Genomic DNA, 27413 nt, shown 5'->3' with positions numbered 1-27413 from the left:
GATTCGAGTCATAAATAATCACTAAAATTTATTTTCTGAAATGTTGCAAATTTAAAGCATTTTATGTCTCTTTGCTCAGTGAAAGTAGTCAGAAAGATTTTAGTGTTTTCAAGTGCAACACAGTACCTAATTTCTCTAGCAACCATGTGGCCTAGAAGCCCAGAGGGGCATTCACTCTCAAAAAAAAAAAAAAAATTGTTAAATTAAGGGAGTTAATTCGGATAGGAAATCATTGAACTTCACTGAAACAATGAACATCAGTATTTCCCTAGCTACAATGGAAAGATCAATCCAATACCTCACATCTGTTTTGCAGTCTCATCAATAATATATTCCCAGGAAAATTATCTTCCAGACAGTTATCAATACAGGTTTGAAATAGAAATATTACTTCACATTTATATACTAGGAGAGGACTTCCATGAATAGGAAGACAGACTGTGTAGCAGAGTTTCATGATTCTCAAAGTAACTACTGCATTTTGATGGATTCTACTTGCAGTGTCTGGGTCAGTAGGTCTGGGTTGAGGCCTGAGAATCGGCTTTTTTAAAGAGCAACCCCGATGTTTCTAACACAGAGATCACACTTTGAGCTTTGATCCTTGTCATGGCAGTTAAAAATCAGTCAGAACCCAGATTCAAATCCAGGCTCTACTACTAGCTCTGTAACCTTGGGAAAGGTATTTGATTTCTTTACTGCACAGCTTTCTTCTCTATAAAATGAGATAATAAAAGTGACTGTCTTAGATTGCCCTGAGAATGAAATAACACATGTAAAGTACGCAAAGTACATATGACAAATTTTAGCATATTTATCTATATATTCCAATTTATTTTGCTTTGTCAAATTCACTTTAAAAAGAGGTTTGTATTTAATTTTCTTTGGGAGATCTATAATGTTTAAGGAATACTTAAACAGAAGCAAACATTATTTATGCTATCATGTAGTTGAGTGAAATACCAGGTTATAAAGTCCTTAGGCCCAAGGACTTGTCTTACCCATTTCTGTATTTCTATTTTGTATGTACAGTATTTATTGAATCAATGAATGCATGGTTGATTGAACATATTGGTATTTAATGACAGTGTGCAATGGGCCTATAAATAATAAAAACTGTTGTTTAAGACTTCTCCCATGTTGTGTACTTTATAGCAATTCCAGATCGCTCTTACAGTTTAGGTGGTAAAGAGAATTGTTTGCTGTTTTAGTGTTTTTTAAGTGCTAAGACCTTTTTTGACAATTCATCTCCAACTGCACTTCATATTTTCTTTGTAGCACTCTGTACCACTCAACATATTATATGTTTATTTATTACTTCTCTTCTCTCATTTGAATATCAGCCCTATGAATGTATAAACTCATAGGCCCTGGAGTCAAACTACTTGGTTTGAAATTCTAACTCTACCTCTTCCTGAATGTGTACCGTTGGATAAATTATTCAACCTCTCTGTCAATCAATTTCTTCATCTGTATCATAGGGGCTAATAAAGTACCATTTGGAAAGGTTGCTGTGAGAATTACATGAGCTAATCTTTGAAAAGCACATATTAACCTCATGTATGTTAGCCATTATTATCTAGTTATTCTAATCTATTTTACTAAGATACACTTATTTTTTAAAGAGTTTGTGCTTGATTTTCCTAGTGGATCTATAGCGTGCTACCACTATTTATAGTGGAAGTTTCCAAAGATGGACACATCATTTCCATCCCTATACATAGGTGCTATTCATATAGAGTCTCTTTTCCTTCCCCTTTAATCTGAGCTAGGTTTGTGGTTGCTCTGGTTACTAGAATGTAGCAGAATTAATATTTTTGCCAGTCCTTGGCCTAGCCTTTAAGAGGACAGAAAAAATCTGCTTCATTTCTCTTGGTAACCAGCCACCATGAAAGATGTCTAATTATTCTGTGATCACCGTGCCACGAGGAAGCCCAACTTAGCCATATGATAGGCCACATGGAGAAGCACCAATACTCCAAAAACATGCATGTACCTTTCTTGCACTTTCCAGCTCAGTTTAATGAATGAAGCCAAGTGAATAACCCTTGCCAATACCATGTGGAGCAGAACCACGCAGCTGAGCCCAGTCAAGCCACAGAAGAACGAGAAATGATAAATTGTTCACATTTTAAGCCTCCAAGTTTCGAGGGGGTTTGTTACATAAGAATAAAATCTGCAACATTATCTTGACTTTATCACCTTTAAAAGAGCTCCTAACATTCCTTCAACCTCATAACCTGAATAGCTAACTGATGCCTTATTCAAGGAAAGAGAATTTTCCAAATTCCTTTGTATTTCTCCCATGTATTTTTATCAAGGTTAAATTGCCATGTAAGCTTTTTAATGTTCCACCTGATTAATTGAATAGGTCTCTTTCATATCTCTTTTATCATACAGTTAAATGAGTCTTGTAAACTTCTCCCTGCCTTAATGGTACCTTTTTTTAATAAGTTTAGTGACCTAACAGCTCGGGGCGCATAGAGTGGGTGGGCTCATTAGAGCTTCTGCACCATGAAATTATTCCGGCCCTTGCCTTGATTCATGAAGGTGAATACTCCTATTTATTTTTGCTAATAGCTGTCAGACAAGTTGCTCTTGGTTTCACTTGATTATTTAGAGATTTCATTTCCTTTAAACCTTAGTGATAAAATGACATTATATTTCAATTTATTGGCATAAATAAAAATGATGGCACTTCTTTTTTAGGTTAATCGGAAATTTAAATTATCATTTTATTGACATTTTAAATCTGTCTTTAAAAGTAACTTTGAGTGGCTCAAATTAACTTAATTTTTACTTAAATTATCATATTTATAACTATGCTAATGAGAAGAACTTTCATGGAGTTTCAACTTAATTACTCCACAGAATCTTCAGGAATTTTATTGCAGTCATAGTGAAAATCTGCATTTTTTTAAAAGGGGAGTTCTGATGCAAACCTCTTCCTTATTCTACTGTATAAGATATACCCATCCTAATGTTCACATGTGTGCAACTTCAAGTGTTCCATAGTGACATGGAAACACACCACTTTAGAGAGCAACTTTAGCTTTTCCTTGACTATGTGGAGTTGAGTTACCTCCTGATAACTATTGTGCGCCAGCTAGGACAACAAAATTGCTGGATATATTTAAAACTTCCTTTGCTGTACAGGATGCAGCTACCTACACATCTTTTTTATTTGTCCCCATACATGACACACTTTCCAAAACTACGTAAGTACCTCTTTATAGTTCTGAATTTTTTAAAATTTCCTGATTAACATTCTTTAAATTGCCAAATAGATCCAATATAAAATTAGCTAACATTTACCCCTCACTTACACTGAACCAGGGAGGCAATATAGAAGATAATTGTTATTTTCCTTATTTAAAAAGTAAGTAAACAAAGGCTTAATGCATTAAGAAATTTCACAGAGCTAATAAGTAATTAAAGAGACTGAAACGTAGGTCAAGCTGATGCTCAAGTAAGTGCTCTGGGTCACACTACTGTCTCCATTATCATTTAATAATTGAGTAAAATCACATTATCCATGACATATGTGCAGAAGGCTGAAAATCTAATTTAAAAATACCTACCAAAATAGTAATAACTGACACACTGCAAATAATTGCTGATTGCAATGTTTCAATATGCTCTTGAGTTCCATGGTACAGGATTTAGCCTCAACTGAGTTCTCTCTTCACAATAGCTTCCTTTTTTTCCTTAGATGGAATTTAGGAACAATTATTCAAGGCTGCCTGAGTGAATTTAATTACCTTTATGGTTTAATTGGAAGAGATATTTCTAACATAAAAATATATAATAATTTTAGGAACTCGGGCAGCCACATGCAAAACTATAAATTTTACTCATCAACAAATCAGTAGCTTAATGTTTCTCAACTAGGGTAATTTTTCACATTCTCCAAGCAATATTTAGCAATGTCTGGATACATTTTTGCTTGTCACAGCTAGAGGATACTACTTACGTCTCGAATATAAAGGCCAAAAATGCTGCTAACATCCTACAATGTGCAACAAAGAATTATCTGGCCCAAAATGTCATCATGCTGGGGTTGAAAAGCCCTGAGGTAGTATGTTTTGCTCAAATGGTCTTTTATGTCAAAGCTACAGAGATGGATTATTATAACTAATTAAACTCATTGGTAATGGATTATCATTTGGAGAAAAAAATCATTTTCCATGTGAAATATAAGAAAAAAATAGCTATAACCAAGGCCATCCAAAGTTTTCAAAATCGTAAGCATTTAAAGCTCAGATCATTTCACTTAAGTCAAAACTCACCTCCATGTTATCTAGATAGAGGTTTCACAGGCTCAGCAACCTAATTTTCTTATATGTGTTTACCCCAAGGATTTCCACAAAGCCATCATTCAATTGACTAATTCAGTAACCAAACCAATGACATCATCAGGATCTAGTAAAGCAGCATGGGGCAGAGTGATACAAACATCTGTATGTGGCTTGAAAACCAAGTCATGGAAGTGAACTCAAGACATCTTTCCTTCTTCCATGAAGCTCTTCAAGTAGTCTTCTATGTGAAATGTTCCACAGTTTTCCAAATTCACAAAAGTTTCTGCCTTAACTAAACCCAAATTCTAAAATGCTCAATGCTCTGGGCGCCATCTGTTCTATGCTTTGACCATAACCCCCGTGCCACAAAAATAAAAGACACCAACCTGTGCCATGATTTTACAAAGCCACTTGGGTTCCACAAAGTACAAGTCACTTAACTGCAGTGCTGGGTCTTGAAAATGAAGAAGGACTCCTGTAGTAAAAAGTCATCAAACAGTGAAACATGGAATCTAGAACAAATATCAAGGGGCTTTAGAAAAAATCTAGTCCAACTTCCTCATTTTGCAGGTGAAGAAATTTCAGCATAGCTAGTGACAGAGCTGGGACTAGAAGCTGTGCATCCTATGGTCTAAAGTTCCAATATTATAATGGAGTATTTTTAAACTACATAAAATGATCATATTTAAGCATATTTGAGACACTGACATGCATTACAGAGCATATTTCACACATAAGTAGAAATTCATAATTTTCTGTTTCGCTTGCTGAATACACACTACAAAGACATGTTTTATTTTCAAATACAGATAAGAAACACAGCATATCTCAGCATACCTTAAGAACGATGGGGAAAAGGAACAGATCATAAACCACGGGAAGCTATTTTTTATACAACAGAATCTAGGGATCAAAAGCAGCTTCCCAGTCACTTACTCTAGTACTATCAAACAACTCACACATTTCTAGCAAGGTAATATGATCAAGTACACAATTAGCACTGAAGTTGCTTTGAGAATTTTCATCTTTGAGATCAATATTTGATGCAAGAGAGCTAGATCTTCCACTCAGAAGCTGCATCATCTCAGGGAGCCATTGACTCTCCAAGCGTCCCAGTTAGACCATGCCAACAATAATTCCCCTTTGCAATATAAAAATAACTTTCACATGCACTAAACTCATTTGACATTATGAATGTCATTTGACTATTCAGGGTTCCACAGCTCCTGAATAGTAAAGACAAGTTCTAGAACCCAAATATTTTAACTCCCACTCAGGGACTCTTTCCACTGCTTTACTCCTAGGTGATTTCTAAATTTGTTTTCTTATGACATGATACATGATTTGTCATGAACACACATGATGATCTTCCAAAAAGAAAAAAATCAGTGGCCTATTAAAGAACCGTATGGATATTCTCTCAACTTTGAATGTAAATTCTATAAAAGATTCAGAAACACTTTTATAAGTTACTACAGCTGAGCTTTGAAAATAAGGAACGAAAAACACAAACCTGATTCATTTAGAAAGTGAACTGCGTGAGGAAGCTCATTTTCATCTAACTGCAGCTGATTTTCTCTCACTAGTTGTAATAATCGTTTCCGGTCAATTACGGGAAATTCAATTGGCACATTTTTACGCTCCGATAAAATGATTTTTTCAAGTTCTACATAGCAGTCTGGAATCAGCTGTCCAACAACAAGCTGATCTCGGATCTATGAAATTACAAATGACAAGCCGTAAAAATCTATTTTATTTGTGTATTTGTCAAATGGTTGGCAAATTCAGTGCTAACAGTTTTTACAGAAACAGATATATTATTCAGAAGTACATTTTTAAATAAAATCAAAATATAATAAAAAGCTATTTAGGTTGTAAGGAACAAGTACAATGAAATTAAAATAGGAAAATTGTTGATTCAGAGGCAAATTTGGAAATATCAAATAAAATAGTATGGAAATATTTATCTCGCTATCCAGAAATTCCATGGAAAAAAAAACAAGATAAATCACTAACCATAAAAAAGATTTTTTATATCCTAAGACATTAAACTTAATGTGAAACAGACACGCTAGTATAAGATATCAGTACAAATTACAAGAGCTTTTGGATATTATTATATTTTAAATATTCAAGGTAAAATATTAAATTTTGTGCTTGGTTATTTGTAAAATGTTATATTGGGAGGACATATATATCAACAGTGAAACGCAGAGACATAAAATCCCACTCAAGCTATGTTTTTCATGGAACCTTGAACTTGGGAAAATGAGAAATCATCTAAACATCAGTGATTCTGATAGGAGAGGATGATCATTGTTCTGTTGCTCTTAGAATCTAATCACTATCAACAAAATGAGAAATATATAAAATAAGATTTTTTTAAAGAATGGCCCTAAGAGGATAGTTTCTACAATAAAAGTATCTTCCAAACGTTTTTTAAAATATAATTTTAAATAGAAATGCAACTCTTAATAATATCCAGAGTGCCGTTAAGAACCACCAGATGGCAAACTCTCCCTATTTCTGGACCTATGGAAATTACATATTCTTTTTATCTGAAAATACGAATCAGAATTTCTGCTTAAATTCTTACACTTACTACAAATAGAAATTCAGCACACACAGAAAAAAATTAACTTGGTCTTTTTCTACTTGTGACTAAAAACTTAAAGAGACAACCATAACCATTACTTCCATATTTACCTGCAAATGGTTACTCAAGAGACTGTTTTCATGTATCTCTTAACCCAGAGAATTAGAGATAATTTCACTAACCTCCACTTTTCATGTTCCCTCTCTTAGTCGTTCATAAATTAAGATGAAATTGAACTTCAGATTGAGGTTTATGTTTTAATCCAAGGCAGGAAACCTCCATATAAAAATAAACAAGAGTTCTCAAAGAAAGCAAATCAAGTAGAAACGGGATGAGTTTTACGGGACTACGTCTCAAGGCCCACAGAGATGCCTGCTCTGCTAATGGGCTGGACAAGATTAAAAGGAGTATTGTCAGCATTGAACTCTGTTTTGTCCTGCTTCTCCTTTCAGCATGATTATCAGTTAACTGACAGGCTGAGCCAAAAAACAAAACTTAAAAGTGTCTGCACAGACACCTGTTAATAAGGTTGAGACAGAAAAAGATTAGAGAAGAGCTAAGATCAAAGGCAAATATGAAAAATAAATGAGAGGACAAAAAATGATCTCTAATAGATTAAAAGCTGCTCTTTGAATTCAGGTTGAAGCACCTCAGGGAAGAAAGAATTTTCAAGTTCTGGCAGGCTCACAGGCCCTGGGTCATCTGAAAGAGTCATTCTTCTACAAAGCAATCAAATGAGTTTTCAAACCATTATGCCAGAATGCTGCATCCATTAGCAATATATACTTTTCTTTCAATAATACTGGTATTTCTCAAAGCATTTGTTTTATTTCCTTGTAAAAAGTTGTCTTCAAAGGTGATTTATAAGTGCCAAAAGAAAAACTAGTCTGACTTATTGGTAATGATATCTATTAGACAAAAGCAGTATTAATACAGCTTAATGAACCATCTTATCTGTGACTTTGCATCAACTAAATTCAGGCCTTTTCAAAACAAACTCATCCTCCAACAAGTCTTTTTAAAGATATGATACATTCTCTGACAACAATGACAAAAAGGGAAACTCAAAATATTCTCAGTAACAACAAAGTTATTGAAGTATGGGTATAGTCTCAGAAAAAAAAAACACCTGGATTAAGAGATTAATTGGATGAATAAATTTTGTGTATTTGTTTTTCTTTAAGTCATATTAGTTTCTAATTACATGTCCAACAAGAGAATAGGAAAGTCTACAAATAAATAATATGTCATTTTTACATGACATTACCATCTATCATCAATAAAACCTTTTAATAACTGTAATAAATGTGTGTTGAAGGATACAAACATACAAATTCTCTCCCTGGGCACCGCAAAAGCCATCACTTTTACAAATGGCTCATTAGGTTTTGGAGTGAAGCACACATAATCTATATAAATGGAACAGAACTAAGCTAACTGGCCAGCATGGAGTTATAACCAAGGTGACTATATAATTTATCATCCAAATTGGAATGCTTTTGAGAATATAGTGGGACACTATTACATAATTATGCTGGGACTGCCCAGGCCAAATAGGACTCTATTTATCAGCCAGTATCTTGATCATTAGTGCTATTGAGCTAAGCCAAGACAGACTAAGTGAAATTCATCATTATGTTTGTCATATGGAACTATCAAGGGTATTTTTCAGTACAGTTTACACCACACTCCCTGTAGTACCCAGTGAAGATTTCTTTTTTCTGCCAAGTATTTAAAAAAAAAAGTGTTCTCTCTGATAACTGATTTATTTACATTTTATAAAAATTTGGCTTACGAGAAGATAACTTTAAACATTTAAAACATAATTCCTAAAATAAAAAGCCCATTTTGTATGAACTAAGTAATTAGTGAGACACTGCTGAAAACCAAGTTAGTGGTCTTCATGACTAAATAAAACAGCTGCCTCACAATACGGAGGGAAAAAAATTGGAATGGGAATCACAGTGACAAAATTCATGAATGAGTGGCACAAAAGATCAAGATGTCCATAAAACAGGAATTCCAAAAGAAAAGAGGAAATGGAAAAATAACAGTTAAAGAATAATAGAAGAAAGATGATCCCAAGACCTCAGTATTCACCTTTACCCTTGTGATTGAATCACCACTATAAGAAGTTGAATCAGAAAAGGCATCAAAAACATTTTCTCAGATTCTCTCTCAGAAACATTTTCTCAGTATCCCAGAAACGGTCTCTTAGTTTCTCTCAGGTTCCTCTAATTATTTTTTGTTCCCATTTCTATGAATTAGAAATGAAGTCTGGCATAAATAATTTTAAAATGGAAAGGACTTTAATAATGCTAACAGCAACAAGGAAAGAAAACCCACAATTTTAAGTGAGTTGCTCACTTCTCAAAATTTCTGACATTTCTAGGCAGTTGAGAATCAATAAATTACATTTCTCTACCAGCCTACCATGTTACCTTGAAATTAAGGCTCTCGTTTATGATGGTTTTCCGAAGTTTTGCCAAAGCATCAGATTCCTCGGTGGCATTCACAAAGTGGTAATCTCGTATGGCAGGGAACCCTCGCTTATTCAGGAGTTCCTTGGTGATTTTACTCATGCAGGCTTTGCGTTGCTTCTCATCAGAAACATCCAAATGTGTGCCAACGAGAATCACAGGGGAAGAAGAAGCGCGAGCCTGGAGGGAAAGACACAAAACCCTCTTGTGTTTGCTTTCAAACTGGGCCTGCTCACATTCCTGTTGATATTTGCTTTCCGTGACATTCACTTGAATGGAAAAGAGAAACTAGCAGACTTCAGAAGAAGAAAAGAACAACTGTCCTTTTTTCCTTAAACCTAAGAAAAAAATGTAACCTTACGACATTTTAAAAAGTCATTTTTGGCCTTTCTTAACCCAATTCTTCACCCTTTTAGGTGGCATATATAACGGTAGTGGTATAGTTTTCCTTTCCCATCTTCATGCCTTAAGATGAGTTATTCACTCCTAAATAAAATAAGCATTTCATAAACCCACAAATTATATCAAATTAACGTCATATAGTTTATATTTTCTCTTCCTTATCTGTGAATTTAATCTTCTAAATTCGTTTTAAAGTCAACCAATTTGGAGTCTACAATGAAAGAATAAAAGCCACTCAAGCAAATATGACTGCCACTGTACTATTTGCTCACGTTGGCTAGCTGTAAAAAAGTTAATAAAAGAAACATTAAAAAATACCCAAATTACAAAACAAGCATGTATGCAGCCAATTACATGGTTAAATGTCCTGACACAAGCTTTTTAAGGACTTTATGCACAGAAGAGTTCATTGCAGCATCATGCAAGCAGCAGTTTAGTCTCCATTCTAAAAAGCCATAGTGTTTGAAGGAATAGCTGACAACAAGACAACAAAGGAAAAGATAGAAAAGCAACAAAAGGGAGATTCCAGATGTAACAGCATAATAATCTGGGACCACTTAAAGGATACAATCTGAAGAATTTCACACTAAATGGCCCCTGAGTACAAAGTTGATGAGATATATATATATAGATTGCTTTTCTTTAATATAGCTTATTTTAAATTAGAAAAATTTAGATTTCATTTAAGAAATAATATAATTAAAAAACAGTTGAACATATATATTTTCAAGTTTTACAGCATAAAAGAGTTTCAGGTTACCAATAACATTCACCAACATGGAACATACAATTTTCATGTTATGACTTCATTACTCGGAAAGTTTCCCAATTCAAAATTTTAGTGCTTCTTTTAAGAAAGTATTTAAAGAGACTGAAGCAATTGTTTGCCCAAAATAAATTAACTTACACACACACACACACACGCACACAGACACATGAATTATTTTCTATTTTCAAATGATCAGAACAAATCACCTTTATATTGAAGAGCCAAGGCTTCATGGCATCAACTTCAGCCTGTCCCTTGCTGAGGTCATAGACAGCAAGGTACAATGCTCGCTGCGTCATAAAATGGGGATGAGTACTATAGAATTCCTCACGACCTAAATAAAGATTAGAGACAAATTTTTTTAATCTTTCAAACGACAGGCAAGAATCCTTTTTTAAAAAAAAATCTGGGAGAATAATACTATTTATTATTTAGCATACTAATAAGAGAAAAACAACAGACCATGTTTAGAGAACTATTCTGGGTTTTTACTAGGATTGACCACTTTTAGCATATTTGTCAGCAACCGATCAAAGTACCTAGCACCAAATTGTTCCTAACATATCCCTCCATGTTCTTCTCCATTCTGGAGGCAAGGGTAAAATTAGGAGAAATGAAGGGCTTTGGAATAATTCCATACAGTCTACCAGGTTTCTGGATATTAGAACAGAAAGCTCAGTTTTTGAATCCCTGTTCCAAACAAATGGTAAAAGTGAATTTTAAAATTCTATAGAAAGAAATACCTGCAAAATCCCACACATTTAGGACGAGATCTCTCTTTCTTTTGTCTCTTATTTGGATAGGCCAGTCTTTCACATCTATGCCAACTGTGGCACTTTGCATTCCAAGATCTGATTTCTTGGTTTTCATTAATTGCTGCAATAAGGTGGTTTTACCACTCCCAGTATTTCCCACAATCATAAGTTTCATTCGGTTATAAGGCACAGCCTTTTTTAATCGCTGTTGAAGAAACCTAGTATTTGAAAGATAAAAATAAAATAATAAACTGCTTAAAAGTATACTTGAGATTTAGGTGAGTTCTTTTACATGTCACACTATTCTAAAATATAGTATCCAGAAGAGTGCATATCTCATATAACTAATAATGTACATGTCTTTCAGAGTACTGTTAATGCATATATTTTGCTAGAGATTTTAGGGTAGTTGATAATGTTTGGTAAAATCACCAAAGAAAACATGTTACACTATCACCAGAAATAATCAAAAGGCCAAAATATGTTTGCAATACTAATTAGAATACGATATGCAATATATATATACCTCTATATATACACACATATACATACATGTATACATATTCTAATGTCTTTAAATAGTATGAAAAACCCTACAAATTATACGCCAGGTGCGGTGGCTCGCACCTGTAATCCCTGCATTTTGGGAGGCCGAGGTGGGCGGATCATGAGGTCAGGAGTTTGAGACCAGCCTGGCCAATATAGTGAAACCCCGTCTCTATTAAAAATCCAAAAAGTAGCCGGGAACAGTGGCAGGTGCCTGTAATTCCAGCTACTTGGGAGGTTGAGGCAGGAGAATCGCCTGAAGCCAAGAGGCAGAGGTTGCAGTGAGCCAAGATCAGGCCACTGCACTCCAGCCTGGGTGACAAGAGTGAAACTCAGTCTCAAAAAAAAAAAAAAAAAGAAAAGAAAAGAAAAGAAAAACCCTATAAATTATAAAGTTCAAAATTTCACAAAGTCCATATGACATAGAAACAAGGTAGAGATATATGTATACTGTTAAAGCTTGATAATAGGGTCATATTAGTTACATTATATATGTGTGTGTATATATTCATATATGGTATATATGATGTATAGCTATATATTCATGTATATCACATATGCATATAATAGTATATATGGATAGTGAGATCACATAACATCATAAATAAATATAAACTATTATACTATCAGCAGATGTTAGCTTTCATTCCTAATGATCTTAATGTAAAACCTGAATGAAATAGAAGTGTTTAGGTAGCTAAAAAACCACCTTTAAACTAATAGTAGAGTCAAAGTGTTATCAAAAATATAATGGATAGAGAAAGATATATTTTGAAATATGTTAAAATGTTGCCACAGTTTCAAATTAGAGAAAAAGACTAAATCATAAGTGAATTTTACATCAGAGTAGTGATCAATTCATTCCTGTAACTAATAAGAATCTGACCAACATTCCTGATGATATGACCAAAAAGCAACATTACCTTTCTTGATTTATTTCTTAAGAATGCACCACTATTTGAAAAAATGTCTTTCTTCAAAAAGCAAATGATGCCTACAATTTCTAATCTGCTCTAGGTCTTTCTGTCTTTTCTGAAAATGTTAAACATGTTTAAAAATATTTAGTTATATATTAAATTAAATATTAAATATTAAAAATATTTAGTTAGATAATACAGTATAATACACTGAAAGCTAGTTCTACTAAATGTTTAGTAAGAACTGAACCAATTTTTATATGACCATCTTTTCCAGTTTCAAGAGAGAAAAATAATTGGGTAGGATGAAGGGTAGCCACAATTAGCACAAAAGATAACAAACTCCTTTAAAATGAAATCAAGCTCAGGAGTTCAGAAAACAAAATCCTTCCTCATAAAAACAGATGAAGTTAAATATAAATTTAAGAGATTTTAGGCAGAAGAGAATGAGTAAGTATAAATCACTGGTAATTAAACAACTATTAATTGTATGCCAGGCACTGTGTTGGGTGCCAAGATTTGAATAGTGAGTGAACACAGCCATGGTCTCTGCCTTGGTGGATATTACAGTCAAGTTGAGAGGTGATGACAGAGCTGAGGTCTGCAACGTTAATACAGTAACTGTGGAAAAGGGAGCAAAGGATTTTATGAGAAAGTAATAAGACCGATGTGCTGAAAGGGAACAAAAAGGAGGATAAAATCCATTACCAAAGATATTTAAAGTGCTTAAAGTGTAAAGACCAGAAACAGTGATACTTGAGAAGTTTTGGTGCTTTCAAAACTGATCAAGGTGAGTAGATTACTCATCCTAATGGGCAAAATAGAAGTTAGTAATTTCACATGATGTCAGTAGCTATAATGCTTTAAGATGTAAGAGGCATATGTTAACTAGTTGCTATATGAAATACAGTGTGAGAAGTTATTATACTGTGCTGTATTTCTTTAGATTGTGTAATTGGTAACCAGAGACCAAATAGCAATACTTATTTTCTTTTAGAGTCTACTCCACTGAAAAGAAACAGAAGGAGGAGAAGCCGCTCTCAACATTAGTCTGGCTAAGAAGAATGAGAAATCTCTACAGTGGCACCACAGAAACACATTCATTAAATGAAAGGCAAATGACACACAGCATATTAATGCCAAATATTACTATTTATTTTTCCCTAAATAGTAACAATATATGTCCATCAAAGTCACAGAGAGTAGAAAATCTGAAATAAATTTAGTAAAACCAAATAGAAAAAAATTATCTAACCTTATGATGTCTTTGGCTTTACATCCTATATGTTTAAAATCAAAGTTAAGATGCAGTTCATCCAAAGGAAGATCCCATATTTTGCTTAATTTCCCCATTTCATTGGGAAAGGATCTTAGTTCCAAGTTGTAACTGACATCCAGAGATGTCAGATTTTCAAGACAGCCAATCTCAGGAGGAATCTTAATGGGAAAAAAAAGGGCAAAACCTGTTGGTGGGAAGGAAGAAATGTGCTCTGCCAAAAAACGTGATAAGAAACAAGAAAGGCTCACAGATTCCATCAGCAGCTTGCACAACCTTTCAACAGAGTTTTAAAACTTTCCAAAGGTTTGTCATAAGTTGTCAGTATGTGTTTAAAAACATAAAAACTTACATATAAAAACTTACTCCCAAACAATCTATGTCACTCATCTGTAATATTAAAAAACCCAATCTCCTTTGGTAACATACTTCATCTCTTCAAGACATTGAAAGTAAGGAAGTTCTTACCACAAAATGGATTTGGTTATCCATTATCTGTGACTTCATTCTGCTCCTTCAGTAAAGGCAAGAAGACCTAGTCACTACAAACCTGCATGCAATTTAGTGTTCTCAAAGTACAGCTACATGCTTATACTTTAGGTGGCATCCTAATTGGAGTAATTTCTTTTCTGTTCCAAATTTTTAAGCAATATATACTATATTTATAATAGAAAACACTCATTTGCTGGCAAAAAATCAGGTAGCAAAATATATGCACAGTTTTGCTGAACCTCACAGTGTCAGACACTTAATTCTTTTGGTTTTTGTAGGCAATACGCTAGAACTTGAAAAATAATATTTTCTGAGACAAACAAATTATCAATTTCAGATTTACAACAGAGAGAATGGAGCAAAACAAAAAAGGTTGATCCATTAGGGTGATAGCATGGTGGCGGAATGCAGAAATTTAAGAATGTACCAAGGAAAGCTGAAAAACAAGTAATACAGTATACAGGCCAGTAACAACTTGAGAAAAATGGTTTATTTAAGAGTCTGTTAACAGATTGGACAGAGATTTGGTGATACAATGACACACAGCATCACATTCATCTATAATTATGTATATATTCATATAATCCTTTAAAAGTATATCACAAAAGTAATTTTTTGAGGAAATTATGCTGTGTTACCATATCCATTTACCATAGGGTAGGCTTACAACTTGTTTAAAAAACAAAAAAAAATTGAATGGTATTGATATTTACAATGCTTATTTTGAATTTATAGTTATTAAATGACATCCACTACTATTCCATAGAACACTCTTTATGAGCTAGTACTATAAAGAATTTTTATCCTTATACTATCTTGTGTATTAGCAAAGCGTTCTAAGTTGTTTTGTCATAGTTAAGTAACAGTTAAGAATAATTTGAGTTAATCTATAATATGTTATATGATAACATCACACATAATTTGAAATGAATATTCTAATAATTTTTACTTTGTACAAATGTTGGGTAGACAAATTTATATCTAGCTGTTTAGCTTTCAGATTAAAAGGTTCTGATAAGTATAGCATATTGTTTTATTGTTTAGTGGAAGTATTAAGGCTACTACCTTATTTTTAAAAGTAGATTTTTTTAAATTGTCGGTGTGAGAATGGAAATTAAATTAAGTGACACATCATTAGTAGCTGTTCTTATTTTTAAATTTAATGGAAATCTGGATTTATAGTTGACAGGAATTTATAGTTAACAGGAAGCTTCTAGTTTCATGAAATTGGTATTTAGAAGCTAAATATCACTTAAAATGATAATTTGTAATGATGCAAATCATAAAGTATATTTTTTAAGTGGCAATAATCGTCTTACCTCTTTCAGTTTATTGTGAGAAAGATGCAGTTTCTCTACTCTAGACCATAAATATGCTTTTTCACTCAAGTCCAAGATGCTGATCTGATTATGGCTAAATAAGAGTTCCCTTAAGTTCAAAGATTTCCAGTGTGCGGGACCTGGTAGGTACTGAATATCATTGCTGCTCATATCTAAAGACCGCAAGCTAAAACAATACACAGAAAAGACATAAACCAAATGAGTATTTCCAAAATACATGAAATAACATCACAAATAATTTTCCCCAGGGTGAGAATAAAGTGTAACGTCAAAACTAGCATTATTGACATATGAGTATGCATGTGATTTGAGAGCCTGAAGTTGAACCACCAGTGTTTAAGAACTATGACTCTGGGCAAGTTACTTCATCTCTTATGAAGTGGAGATAATAACAGTGGCTATCGTAGGGCATTATTAGGAAGATTAAAGAGATGAACCGCTGTAGAGTAGTTAGAACAGTTAAACACATTCTAAAGCTAGACGTAATTTAGCTATTATAGGTTTGTGTAACACTCTCTATGGCTAAATTCTAATTATTATTTGCCTAAATATAAGCTCACAGAAGAGCTCATTGCAGCATCATGCAAGCAGCATTTTAGTGTCAATTCTAAAAAGCCATAGTGTTTGAAGGAATAGCTGACAGCAAGAAAACAAAGGAAAAGATAAATTTACACATATATTTTTATGAATTTGGTTTATCATGTATGATATAATTAGAATAGCATTTAAGATTACAACACACTCAAGATCCAATTAATGCCTGAATTTAAAGTTAACAGGAAGCTTCTGGTTTCATGAATTAACCAAAATATCTCAAAAACCTGGAACTACATAAACTTGCCTAATCTTCCCCCAAAATTTCACTCAAACATAACTTAAGCATAATGTGAAAGTTAAGGGTATTTTGGCAACATATCAAGTTCCACAAACAATTAAAATTTTAAAAGTTAAAGTGATAGCCAGTATAATCTCATTTCATTATACTAATACAGCAATTAATTAAACAATCTTAAGTTGTTTTTACACAATGATCCACTAAATAAATATAAAAGTTTCCATTTTAAGTAATGAGTTGGGTCTTTTATCTAGTGAAAATCATTCATACATACAAAAACATCAAGTTGAGTAGGTTTAGAAATCAATTACCTCTATATGACTAAATCGAAATCATGTTTCTAAAGGTTCTGTTCCAGCTAATGTGCTTTTAAAATTAAAATAACAATAAACTTACTGTGGAAGATTTAAAATTGCTTCTGGAATACAGGAAAATTTGTTCTGAGATAATTTTAGGATTGTCATAGAAGGAGGCAAGAAAGGCATAGCAGCTAAAAGAAAAAAAATGAGATAAACATTTTAATCATTTTAACCAGATTTCCATTAAATTCAAAAATAAGAACAGCTACCAATAGTGTGTCACTTAATTTGATTTCCATTCTCACACTGACAATTTTTAAAAATCCACTTTTAAAAATAAGGTAATAGCCTTAATACTTCCACTAAACAATAAAATAATATGCTATACTTACCAGAACCTTTTAACCTGGAAGCTAAACAGCTATTTAAATATAAATTTGTCTACCCAACATTTGTACAAAGTAAAAATTCCTAGAATATTCATTTCAAATTATGTGTGATGTTATTATATACCATATAGATTAACTAGAATTACTCTTAAATAACTATAGCAAAACAACTATGAACACTTTACTAAAATACAGTATATTATAAGGACAAAAATTCTTTATGGTACTAGCTCATAAAGAGTGTTCTATGGAATAATAATGGGTGTTATTTAATAAAAGTATTCTTCGATCATATAATCTTAAGAGATTGGGAAACATTCAGTAAAATAAAGTAAAATATCTGAGTTCTCAATACTCTGGTATATTTTATGATTTTTTTATTTTTTATTATTTTATTATTATTATTGTTATTTGAGACAGAGTCTCGCTCTGTTGCCCAGGCTGGAGTGCAGTAGCGTGATCTCAGCTCAATGCAATCTCCGCCTCCCAGGTTCAAGAGATTCTCCTGCCTCAGCCTCCTGAGTAGCTGGGATTACAGGCAGGTGCCATCATGTCCAGCTAATTTTCTGTATTTTTAGTAGAGATGGGGTTTCACCATGTTAGCCAGGATGGTCTCCATCTCCTGACCTTGTGATCTGCCCGCCCCGGCCTCCCAAAGTGCTGGGATTACAGGCATGAGCCACCGTGCCTGGCCTACTTTATGAATTGTTAAGAAGGAAATGCAGTATGAGGTACCTCCAAGAAATAAAATTCTGTGAAACACAATTTGGGAAACAGAAAATCACACAGTCTCTTTTCTTATCTGTAAAAGAGTGTAGCTAGATCAGATGAACACTAAGACACTTGAGAGATCTACAAATCTACCGTTTCTAGGAAAACGGATTGAGGAATTAGTTATTAGCATTTTCAAGGTTAAAAATATGGGTTATTCTTTATCTAGACAATCTTCAAGGGTCAAAATGTTCCAGGACACTCCTAGAAGCTGTCTTCCTGAGAAGCAGAAAGATAGCTATTATACCTCACCTATTCGCAAAATAAATGAATCGAAATGATTCTCCACTTAAGACTTCAGAGTCTTGAGTTTCATATGCTGTATGGAAAACACTCATAAGGCCACAGAACTAAAACTTTATTTTACATGGGATTTATTGATTGTTTGATTGATTGATTGACGGAGTCTTGCTCTGTCGCCAGGCTGGAGTGCTGTGGCCTGATCTCCACTCACTGCAACCTCTGACTCCCTGGTTCAAGCGATTCTTCTGCCTCAGCCTCCCGAGTAGCTGGGATTATAGTCACACGCCACCACACCCAGCTAATTTTTGTATTTTTAGTAGAGACAGGGTTTCACCATTTACATGGGATTATTTTTTAATGGTTAGTGGTCCTGCTCAGATGTCACCTCCATGGGGCATCTTCTCAAATGTAAGACCACTTCTCAAACTATTAAGATTGTGTAGTGCAAAGCAAACAGATTTTGAACTGGGGTCCATTCAAACTTTCACAACAAGATAATTAATTGTATGCACCTGTAAGCATCACACAAAAAATCTCACGGCTTCAATTTCCTCAATTGGGCAGAGGTCATACCTGTCCTAGGTATGACCATTAGGATCATTGTGAGATTCAGCTGAGATGACACACTGACCATACACAAGCTTCAAGGTCCTTTTGGATGCTCCTCTTTCCAGACCCAACTTAAATGTCACAGGCACAGAAATGCTTTCCTGACTCCACAGTCTGAATCAGATTCCCCTGAGGTACCACAGAGCATCCTGAAACTTTTCCACAGAAGGCACCACAATATAAAATTACATTTATTTATGCCATCATTACTTAATGTTTGTCTGTGCTCTGAACTTAATCACAAGTTCCTTAAGGACAGAGACCGAGTTTGCTTTGCTTACTAGTGAGTGAGTCAACAACTCTATCCCCAGTTTCAAGATCATGGTTGGAAAGTGGCCAATATTCAGGAGGGTAGGAGGAAGGGAGGGCGCGGAAAAGGAGGAAAATACTATCCAAATTAAGATGGCTTTGATCATTATTAGTTTCTGAAAGCTCTGACAAATTAAAATACTATTAATAAGTAGTTAAGCCATATTCTGCTATTAAATAGAATTAAAAATTATTTTACTGAGTCAGGTATAGAATAAACACATGGGTGGCAAGATGTGAGTATTCTCTATGAAGGAAGATAAAATATGGGGAATTCCTGTTTATTGTCATAAAAGTATTTTGTTCCTTAAAATTAAAATGTTCATTTAGGATACAAATGAACATAATTTCCTCTATTATTTCATATGCTAAGAGAAGGCAGGGGATTCTACAACTTTTAATAAAAGTGATGATAATAATTTGCATTATTATAATGTCTTGCAAAGCACAAGAGCTGAATGAATATACATTAACTTCACTAATTTGAAAACCATTAAATGATTAATTTTATTTCTAACAACAGCAAAGAGTAATCATATTTATCATACAAAAAGTTGCTGAAGAAACTTCAGTATGAAAAACAATATCTCAGTATCAGGATGCCTTACCCAGCTCAGGCAGCCATGTGCATGTTTAGTTTAAGACTAAAGGGAACCACAGGGTACTACACAGTAGGCCAAGTAACTATCATTTTAACCTCTGACAATAAAAATGTGATAATTTTTTTAAATTATAGACTATTTTTAGGGCAGCTTTAGATACACAGGAAAATTGAGCACACAGTCCAGAGACTTTCAATAAATCCCTTCTTCCCTCACCACCACCACCACCCCACACACATTTTCCCCTATTATTAACAATTTGCATTAGTTTGGCACAGTTGTTCCAATCAATGAGCCAATATTTGACACACCATTATCACTCAAAGTCCATAGTTTACATCAGGGTTCATTCTTTATACTGCACATTCTATGGGTTTTGACAAGTGTACCATGGCACATATCCCCCTCTATAGTATACAAAACAGTTTCACTGCCCTAAAAATCCTCTGTCCTTTATCTATTCATCTCTCCCTCCCCTAACCCCTGACAACCATTGATCTTTTTAATGTCCTCATAATTTTGTCTCTTCCAGAATGTCTTATAGTTGGGAACGAATAGTATGTAGCCTTTTCAGATTGGCTTCTTTCACTTACCAATATGCATTTATGTTTCTTTCATGTCTTTTCATAGTTTTATAGCATTTTGTTTTATTGCCAACCTGCTAATTTTATTTTTTAAATCCAGCATAATATTTAAACTGAAATGCCACTTTTAAATCCACAACTAAAGGGTCCATATATGACTCATCTTGTACAACTTAGAGGGCCTGGTAAGGAGGAGACCCACACAGAACACTTACCAAGAAAATTCATTCTGGCACTGAAACTCTCCACTTTAGGACAAGCCTCAAGAAAGTTCTCTGATAGGGATGAAATGTGGTTCTTACTAAGGTTTAAAATCTTCAGTTCCTTCAGTCTCAAGGGGGAGCATATCCCTGATATTTTATTTCTAGTCACAAGAGACAAGATAATGATTAAATTGCATAAATTCATATGCTTTAAAGAAAAAATATCAAAAACAATTTGCTTTCAAAGAACAGCATCAAAGAGGACTCATTAATTTAAAAATTAGTTGTAAAAATGTAAGTCAGTTGATAAAAGTTGTAATATTCATTGCCTCGGTCTTTTATTATATATATAATAAGTATTATATATAGTATATATATAATAAGTATTATATATAGTATATATATAATATATAGGTATTATATATAATAAATATATATAATATATGTATTATATATTATAATACATATATTATATATATATATATATATATTTCTTTGAGACAGAGTCTCGCCTCTGTCACCCAGGCTGGAGTGCAATGGCACGATCTCGGCTCACTGCGACCTCCGCCTCCTGGGTTCAAGCGATTCTCATGCCTCAGCCTCTGAGTAGCTGGGATTATAAGGTGCGCACCACCACGCTGGGCTAATTTTTGTATTTTTAGTAGAGATGGAGTTTCACCATGTTGTTAAAACTCATTGCTATAAAAATGTCAGCATATTTTGTTAACATCAGCATATTTAGGCAACCCTTTTATTTTTAATGAGCTCTTTCTTACCCTTCTAAAATGAGCTGCTCCAGTTTCTCTACCACATCAGTGAGGTTCTCAGGTACAAAAGACAGCTGGTTATATGACAGGTTAAACTGTTTCAGAGTTGGACATTTCACTGTAGGATCTAAAACCACTGAGGGTCCAATGTCATTTCGAGAGACATCAAGATTAGCAATACAACTCATTTTCAACAAATAAGAAGGAAATGATGTAAATTTATTACTGTGCAAGTCCAAATGTGTCAAACTCTTCAGAGTCTGAAAAGACAATAGTTTAAAATTCTAAAGTGAACCATCTGAGGAACTTAAGTCTAGCTAATATTTCTGCCTTACACACCTCTGGTAACTAGAACCATCAAGAATTTTCAAAAAGTTGAAAACACAATCCACAACAGAATTTCAGTATACTAATTGGCCCAATCGTCTCTGCTTGTAGCATGGGTAAAACCAGGAAAATTACAACAGGTAGATTGTAAAAAGCAGGTTCACAAAAATAGAGTTGAAAGCTTCCTTCAGCTTTTTTGTAAATTATTTCCAGAAAGAGCAAAATGGAAGCAGAATACGCCTCAACAAATATTTGAATTAATGATTTAACAAAAAGTACAATATAATCCTGGGAATATGTTTTAAATGCTGTCAGAAATTTTACATATTTTGATATATTTAAGATTTAACTATAAAAATAGTTACTTATAATGTGTTTCATTTTAGAACCTCCTGTTTTTTACGAAACTTTTTGTTTCAAATTTCTACTTTCTATTTTTAAGCAATTTCTAATTTTATAATGATAATAGCAAACCCCTACTTACACATTATGTCAATTTTTTAAAACTTAGGTACGTAATACTCTCAAAGAGCTAAAATACCAAAATCAATCACTTCTCTATGGTCTTCTTTATTTATCAATATATTTATCCACACGAGAAACTCTAGAGTTTGATATCATTATAGAGGCTTATTAACCACTCTTAGCCCCAGAAGTTGTTTCAAAATTCCTGCTTTTGTTTCAGACCCTCATTAACTTATTCTGAAGTAAAGATTTTAAAATTATTCCCAAGGTTTAATCAGGAAATGTTCCTATAAAAGGAACATAGATGAGACCCTTTGACAATAACAAACAAACAAACAAAGTGCCATCTAATGGTGTCATTTTGAAATTTCCCTAAGAGAAGGTTCTGAGCTTGTCCAGTCATTGAATGCCGGCATGTCTCACCTTGTCACAGTCTCTTCCAATTCTCTTTGTTTTAACTAGACTAAATCCCAAAATTATTTTGCTTGCTCATTTAACAAATATTAATTGAAGGATTACCAAGTTTCAGACATTTATTCCTCCACAAATCAATTCAGTAAGTACTAAACTTCTACCATATGTCAGATCTCACTAGGCACTGGGAATAGACAGAAACAAGCCTGAAACAAGTCCTGTCCTCAAAGAGTTCACAGTCTAGTGGGGGCAAAGGTATTTTAAATCAAATTGGATGACCGAATGAGAATTAGGTGGAAAGCATCAGGTGTTATGGACATGGAGGCTAGGTGGGTAGGTTGGCTGGAGGGTAGAAGGAAAAAGGAAGAGAAGCAGAGAGTGATGAAGTGACAGTTAAATTGAGCCCTGGGTGGCTTGAAGTATTTAGCAAGGCAAAGAAGTGGAGAAGAGAGAAAGACACATTTTAGACATTAGGGCATGGCTGGAGGAGTGGGTCACCTTTCTTTCTTCTCTCTGTCTCCAGATATAAAAACTTTAGAGAAAAAACATCCCTTAAATATACTTAAAATTTATGTAATGTTGCCTTTAAAACATCTCAAAATTATGATTAATTTTTTAGGCTTAAAAAGGGGGAAATGCATTTGCAACAAGACTTTTTTTTTTTTGAGACAGGGTCTCACTCTGTTGCCCAGGCTAGAGTACAGTGGTGCGATCTTGGCTCACTGCAACCTCTGCCTCCCAGGATCAGGCAATCCTCCCACCTCAGCATCCCAAGTAGCTGGGACCACAGGTGCACCCCACCACACCTGGCTAATTTTTCATATTTTTGGTAGAGACAGGATTTTGCTGATGCTTAAGCTGGTCTTGAACTCCTGAACTCAAAAAGATCCACCCGCCTCAGCCTCCCAAAGTGCTGGGATTATAGGCATGAGTCACCATGCCCAGCCTTGAGAATTTAACAATTTAAACATTTGCATTAAAATAATTTTAACTTTTATGATATCTTCTTTGGCTTTCAAAACTATTTTGATCTGTAGTACATACAAATGGTGAGCAAAGTCAATTTTCAGAGAGCTATCCTATCAACAAACTATGTTATACTTTAATTCTTACAAGACAGGAACTTTGACCAAAAAGAAAAAAATCTTTAAGTTACACATTATTTTAAACTGAAAAAAAAACTTTCAGTAATCATTTAGTTGAATCTCTATTTCACAGATGAGAAAATGAAGGATTAGAGCAGGCGGAGTGACATGTTCATATTGTCACACAGTTGGTAGCTGAGTCAGAGCCAGTACTACCAAACCAGGTCTAATTCTAGTTTACCTAATCTAATTTAAATTGTTGAAGTTGTCTTACTTGAATTAAATGATTAAAGTATAATCAATATACACTTGACAGACTTTAACATGTACTCCGTACAGAACCTGGAATTCCTTTCTAATCAGATCTGTTTCCATTGCCTGCCCTCAAAGATGCTCCTGAACATCACACAGACTAAGATATGTGTGCAAAAACCAGAGGCACGGGGGACTTATCACCCAGTGACACAAAAGTAGAATGTTCTTTTAAACGACTTAATTATGCAAATTAGATATAAATACAAAAGCTCTTCAAATGTCTTGAAAGTTACAAGGATAAATTAAATTTACTTCACATAGCTGTTGTGGAAAGCTCGTGAGTGCATTCTGGTGAAGCTCCAGCTTTTCAAGATGCTCCAAATGAACACTTATACAGCATTTCTGGCTTAGGGCATCAATATCTCTTAGTTCATTTGCTGAAAGGTCTAGTGATGTAATATATTCTCTCTCAGAAGCCAGAGAAGAAATGCTGTCTGAATGCCTCATATGGGATTGAAGTTTTGATGACCCTTTTGTCAAAAACAAACAAACAATGGAAATATAAGCAAATAATTTAAATTCATGTAGTAAAAGTTTAGTGAGCACCTCCTAGCAATCAGGCTTTCTTCAAGGCACTGAAGATTCAGTAGAAAACCAAACTATGGAGTTTACATTCCAGTGGCAGAGATGAACAGTAAATAAAAAGCATTTAATCAGGTGGTGTAAGTGGTGTGAAAAAAAAAAGAAAGAAAGAAAACTGGAGGAGAGGATGAAGAGTGGCCTTGGTGGAGGTGTTATTTACATTTCAGAAAACTTGTAAAAAAAAAGACTAATGTGTTCTATAATATTCAAGAAAGGTAAATTTTTAAATGTATGTTTCATTTTTCTATAGCTTATGGAAGGAATCATTAGGTAAATATATATGAAGATTATGTAAGATGAAACTGGCACCAAGAATATTTGAATAATTGGAGGAAATTCAACCAAACACTGCATTCTGCCCAAAATATCTATTTACTTATGATTACATCCAAATACTTACTGAGTGAATCATCTGAAGATAATATTTTTCTTTTTCGCTTCAGTAAATCTTCATGATCAAAAATGGGCCCCTATTAAAAAATAATTTATAATAAAATTGCTGTCATTTATTGGAGAAGAGGACATTTTTATAAGGAAGGAACCATGAAATTTTAATAGGGTTAATGGTATTTATAATTATGGGAAAAAATAGGCAAGTAAAAACTAAGAACCCAATTATGAGGATAAAAGAAAACTCCAGTTCAGTGCTCAAATGACCTTAGAAAGCATCTACTCTTTCTCCTTTGTTTTAAATATAAGGAAACTGAAAAACAGAAAGGTTGAGTGAAAAAGCTATATCCATATAATTTCTCATTAACCAAACTACTTTTTATAACTAAATTTATATATAAATTCGAAAGAGCATATAAAGACTGACAGCTAATTTAACCGATTCAACTACAGTCATTCATTTCACCCATCTTAAGATCTAGAATTAACACAAAACAACCCTCATATTTTTAGTACTCAGCTATAATCAAAATTGGAGAATAGGTTAGAACAGGTCTTTCAAAGTGAACCTGAGAATAAGGTGGCTCCCAATTTCCTCAACTAGAATTATCAGACTCCTCATGCAAATATGCCATAGTCCTTCCATAGTTCCAAAACAGACAAGAGGTTGAAATAATAATAAAGGTATCTAAAAAATTAAATGACTTTCAATACACCAAAATAGATAGATGATTGATAGATAGATGATAGATAGATAGATAGATAGATAGATAGATAGATAGATAGATAGATGATAGATAGATAGATGAACAATGAATTATATTATGCTACTCCATCTTGTTCAGTGTCCTTCAGACTTCTGTCTGGTTTCTTAGAAATCACTATCAGATTTCTAGCTAAAGTGTTCATGGGACCAACCCACACCATTAGGTAGAGGTCTAGCCTGGGCTCTTTTCAGACATGGAGTTCTGAAAAGAAAGAAGAAAACCATCTTGAAGTGTACTGTAAGTATATATATATATATATATGTGCCCCAAAAAATTCATACCCTGCATACTCAAAAGACTACAAATGTGAATTGAGCATAATTTACATCTAATATGTTTTCATATCTATTACATATATAAAAATCTCAAAATTATAGTTTTCATACATCAGGGAAATCCCTACCAATTGTTCCTAGCTTTGGCATAAATTTTAGTTATCAAGAGAATGTCAGCAGCAAAACACAACATAATCACAATTGCACAATTTAACTTACCAAGGAATTGGAATGTCTTTGCAAATTTGGTGAGCAACGCTGTAATACGGCATCTCGGTAAAATTCTCCTACACTAATTGAATTAGATTTCTTTTTCACAAGAAATGAGCCTTCACTTCCTATTTTGAAAATGATAAAATAACATGAAGGTGAATACAAAAAGCTTACTCAATCATAAGATCCTTCTATCATAGTTCAATCATGGAAGATTAGACCTATTTTTATTAATGGAAATTTCACAGTCCATTCCCTTTGTAAAATCTTTAAAATAGAGATGATAAGCCATGTTGGTTTTTCACTTTAAAAATTCAACAACATTTTTCTTCACCCATAAATATTTATAGAATGGCTGTTACAGACTAGACACTGGGTAAGCACGGGATACTGATATGCAGAAAAAAAATAAATCTATTCCTCAGAGGAGCTCATAGTCCAGCAGGAAAAAGCCAAATCAATCAACGGTTACATAAGTTATAACAAATATATGTGTGTGCAGAAAGTTTGTATGCAATCTGATCACTGTTACTGCTTTCTGTTTCTCTGAATTTTTTTTATGGAGACCGCTGGAATAGGGTCTAGCAGCATAGGAAAGAGAGTGGATTAACTCCCTGAATTTTTCTTATAAATTTTTCAAATCTTGCTTTAAATGTTGTAATCACACAAATTATTTAACAGTCAGCAATTTTTAATAAATTTCTATTTGAATTTCATGTTTCATGGTTTCTTTTATGGAATGGTATTAAAATAAACACAATAAATTTGGCTGGCAATAATTGTTTTATAAAATAAGGAAAAGGCAGTACTTTCAAAATAATAAATTTACAAGAAAACAAAGATCAATAAAAAAATCATATTAAAGATAAATAATGTGAATGCATTTGTGAAAAATTAATTATGATTTTAAATTCCCCTACTCTTTATCTTAGAAAAAGAAAGAATTCATTTTATGTCAAAACCAAATTATAAAATCTGTATATCCAAATACCACCCTTATAATATTCAGTATAAATCCTGATATAAACAGTTCCTGCCTGGTTCATTGCTAAAGTTTAATTAATTCTATAGTTTAAATTATTTTAATGCTTAAGAATTTTA

The 27413-nt window shown here is 33.5% G+C and overlaps 1 protein-coding gene across 12 annotated transcripts in view; it reads right to left on the bottom strand.

Moving 5' to 3' along the window:
• The window catches only part of LRRK2 (leucine rich repeat kinase 2), a 144289-nt gene that overhangs the window by 49304 nt on the left and 67572 nt on the right, over positions 1 to 27413 (bottom strand). For 8 of the 12 annotated variants that reach the window (XR_007063041.1, NM_198578.4, XM_005268629.5 and 5 more), the window contains 13 exons: positions 26319 to 26437; positions 25068 to 25137; positions 24338 to 24555; positions 21489 to 21739; positions 20725 to 20873; positions 17100 to 17193; positions 15848 to 16034; positions 14016 to 14197; positions 11286 to 11515; positions 10749 to 10876; positions 9333 to 9551; positions 5809 to 6010; positions 4682 to 4770 (listed from right to left, as the gene is read on the bottom strand). Coding sequence is in view for 11 of the 12 variants with exons in the window: in NM_198578.4 (NP_940980.4) it covers positions 4682 to 4770; positions 5809 to 6010; positions 9333 to 9551; positions 10749 to 10876; positions 11286 to 11515; positions 14016 to 14197; positions 15848 to 16034; positions 17100 to 17193; positions 20725 to 20873; positions 21489 to 21739; positions 24338 to 24555; positions 25068 to 25137; positions 26319 to 26437 (2138 nt within the window). In the remaining variant the exon portion in view is untranslated. Of the gene's footprint in view, positions 1 to 6; positions 3705 to 4680; positions 4771 to 5808; positions 6011 to 9332; positions 9552 to 10748; positions 10877 to 11285; positions 11516 to 14015; positions 14198 to 15847; positions 16035 to 17099; positions 17194 to 20724; positions 20874 to 21488; positions 21740 to 24337; positions 24556 to 25067; positions 25138 to 26318; positions 26438 to 27413 lie in introns of those variants that run through there. The other 4 variants (XM_047428279.1, XM_017018787.2, XM_017018786.3 and 1 more) reach the window with 4 other exon arrangements.

This window comes from Homo sapiens, chromosome 12, assembly GCF_000001405.40.
Source record: "Homo sapiens chromosome 12, GRCh38.p14 Primary Assembly".
In the NCBI taxonomy this organism is placed as follows: Eukaryota; Metazoa; Chordata; class Mammalia; order Primates; family Hominidae; genus Homo; species Homo sapiens.
This window is presented reverse-complemented; position numbering and strand designations above follow the sequence as displayed.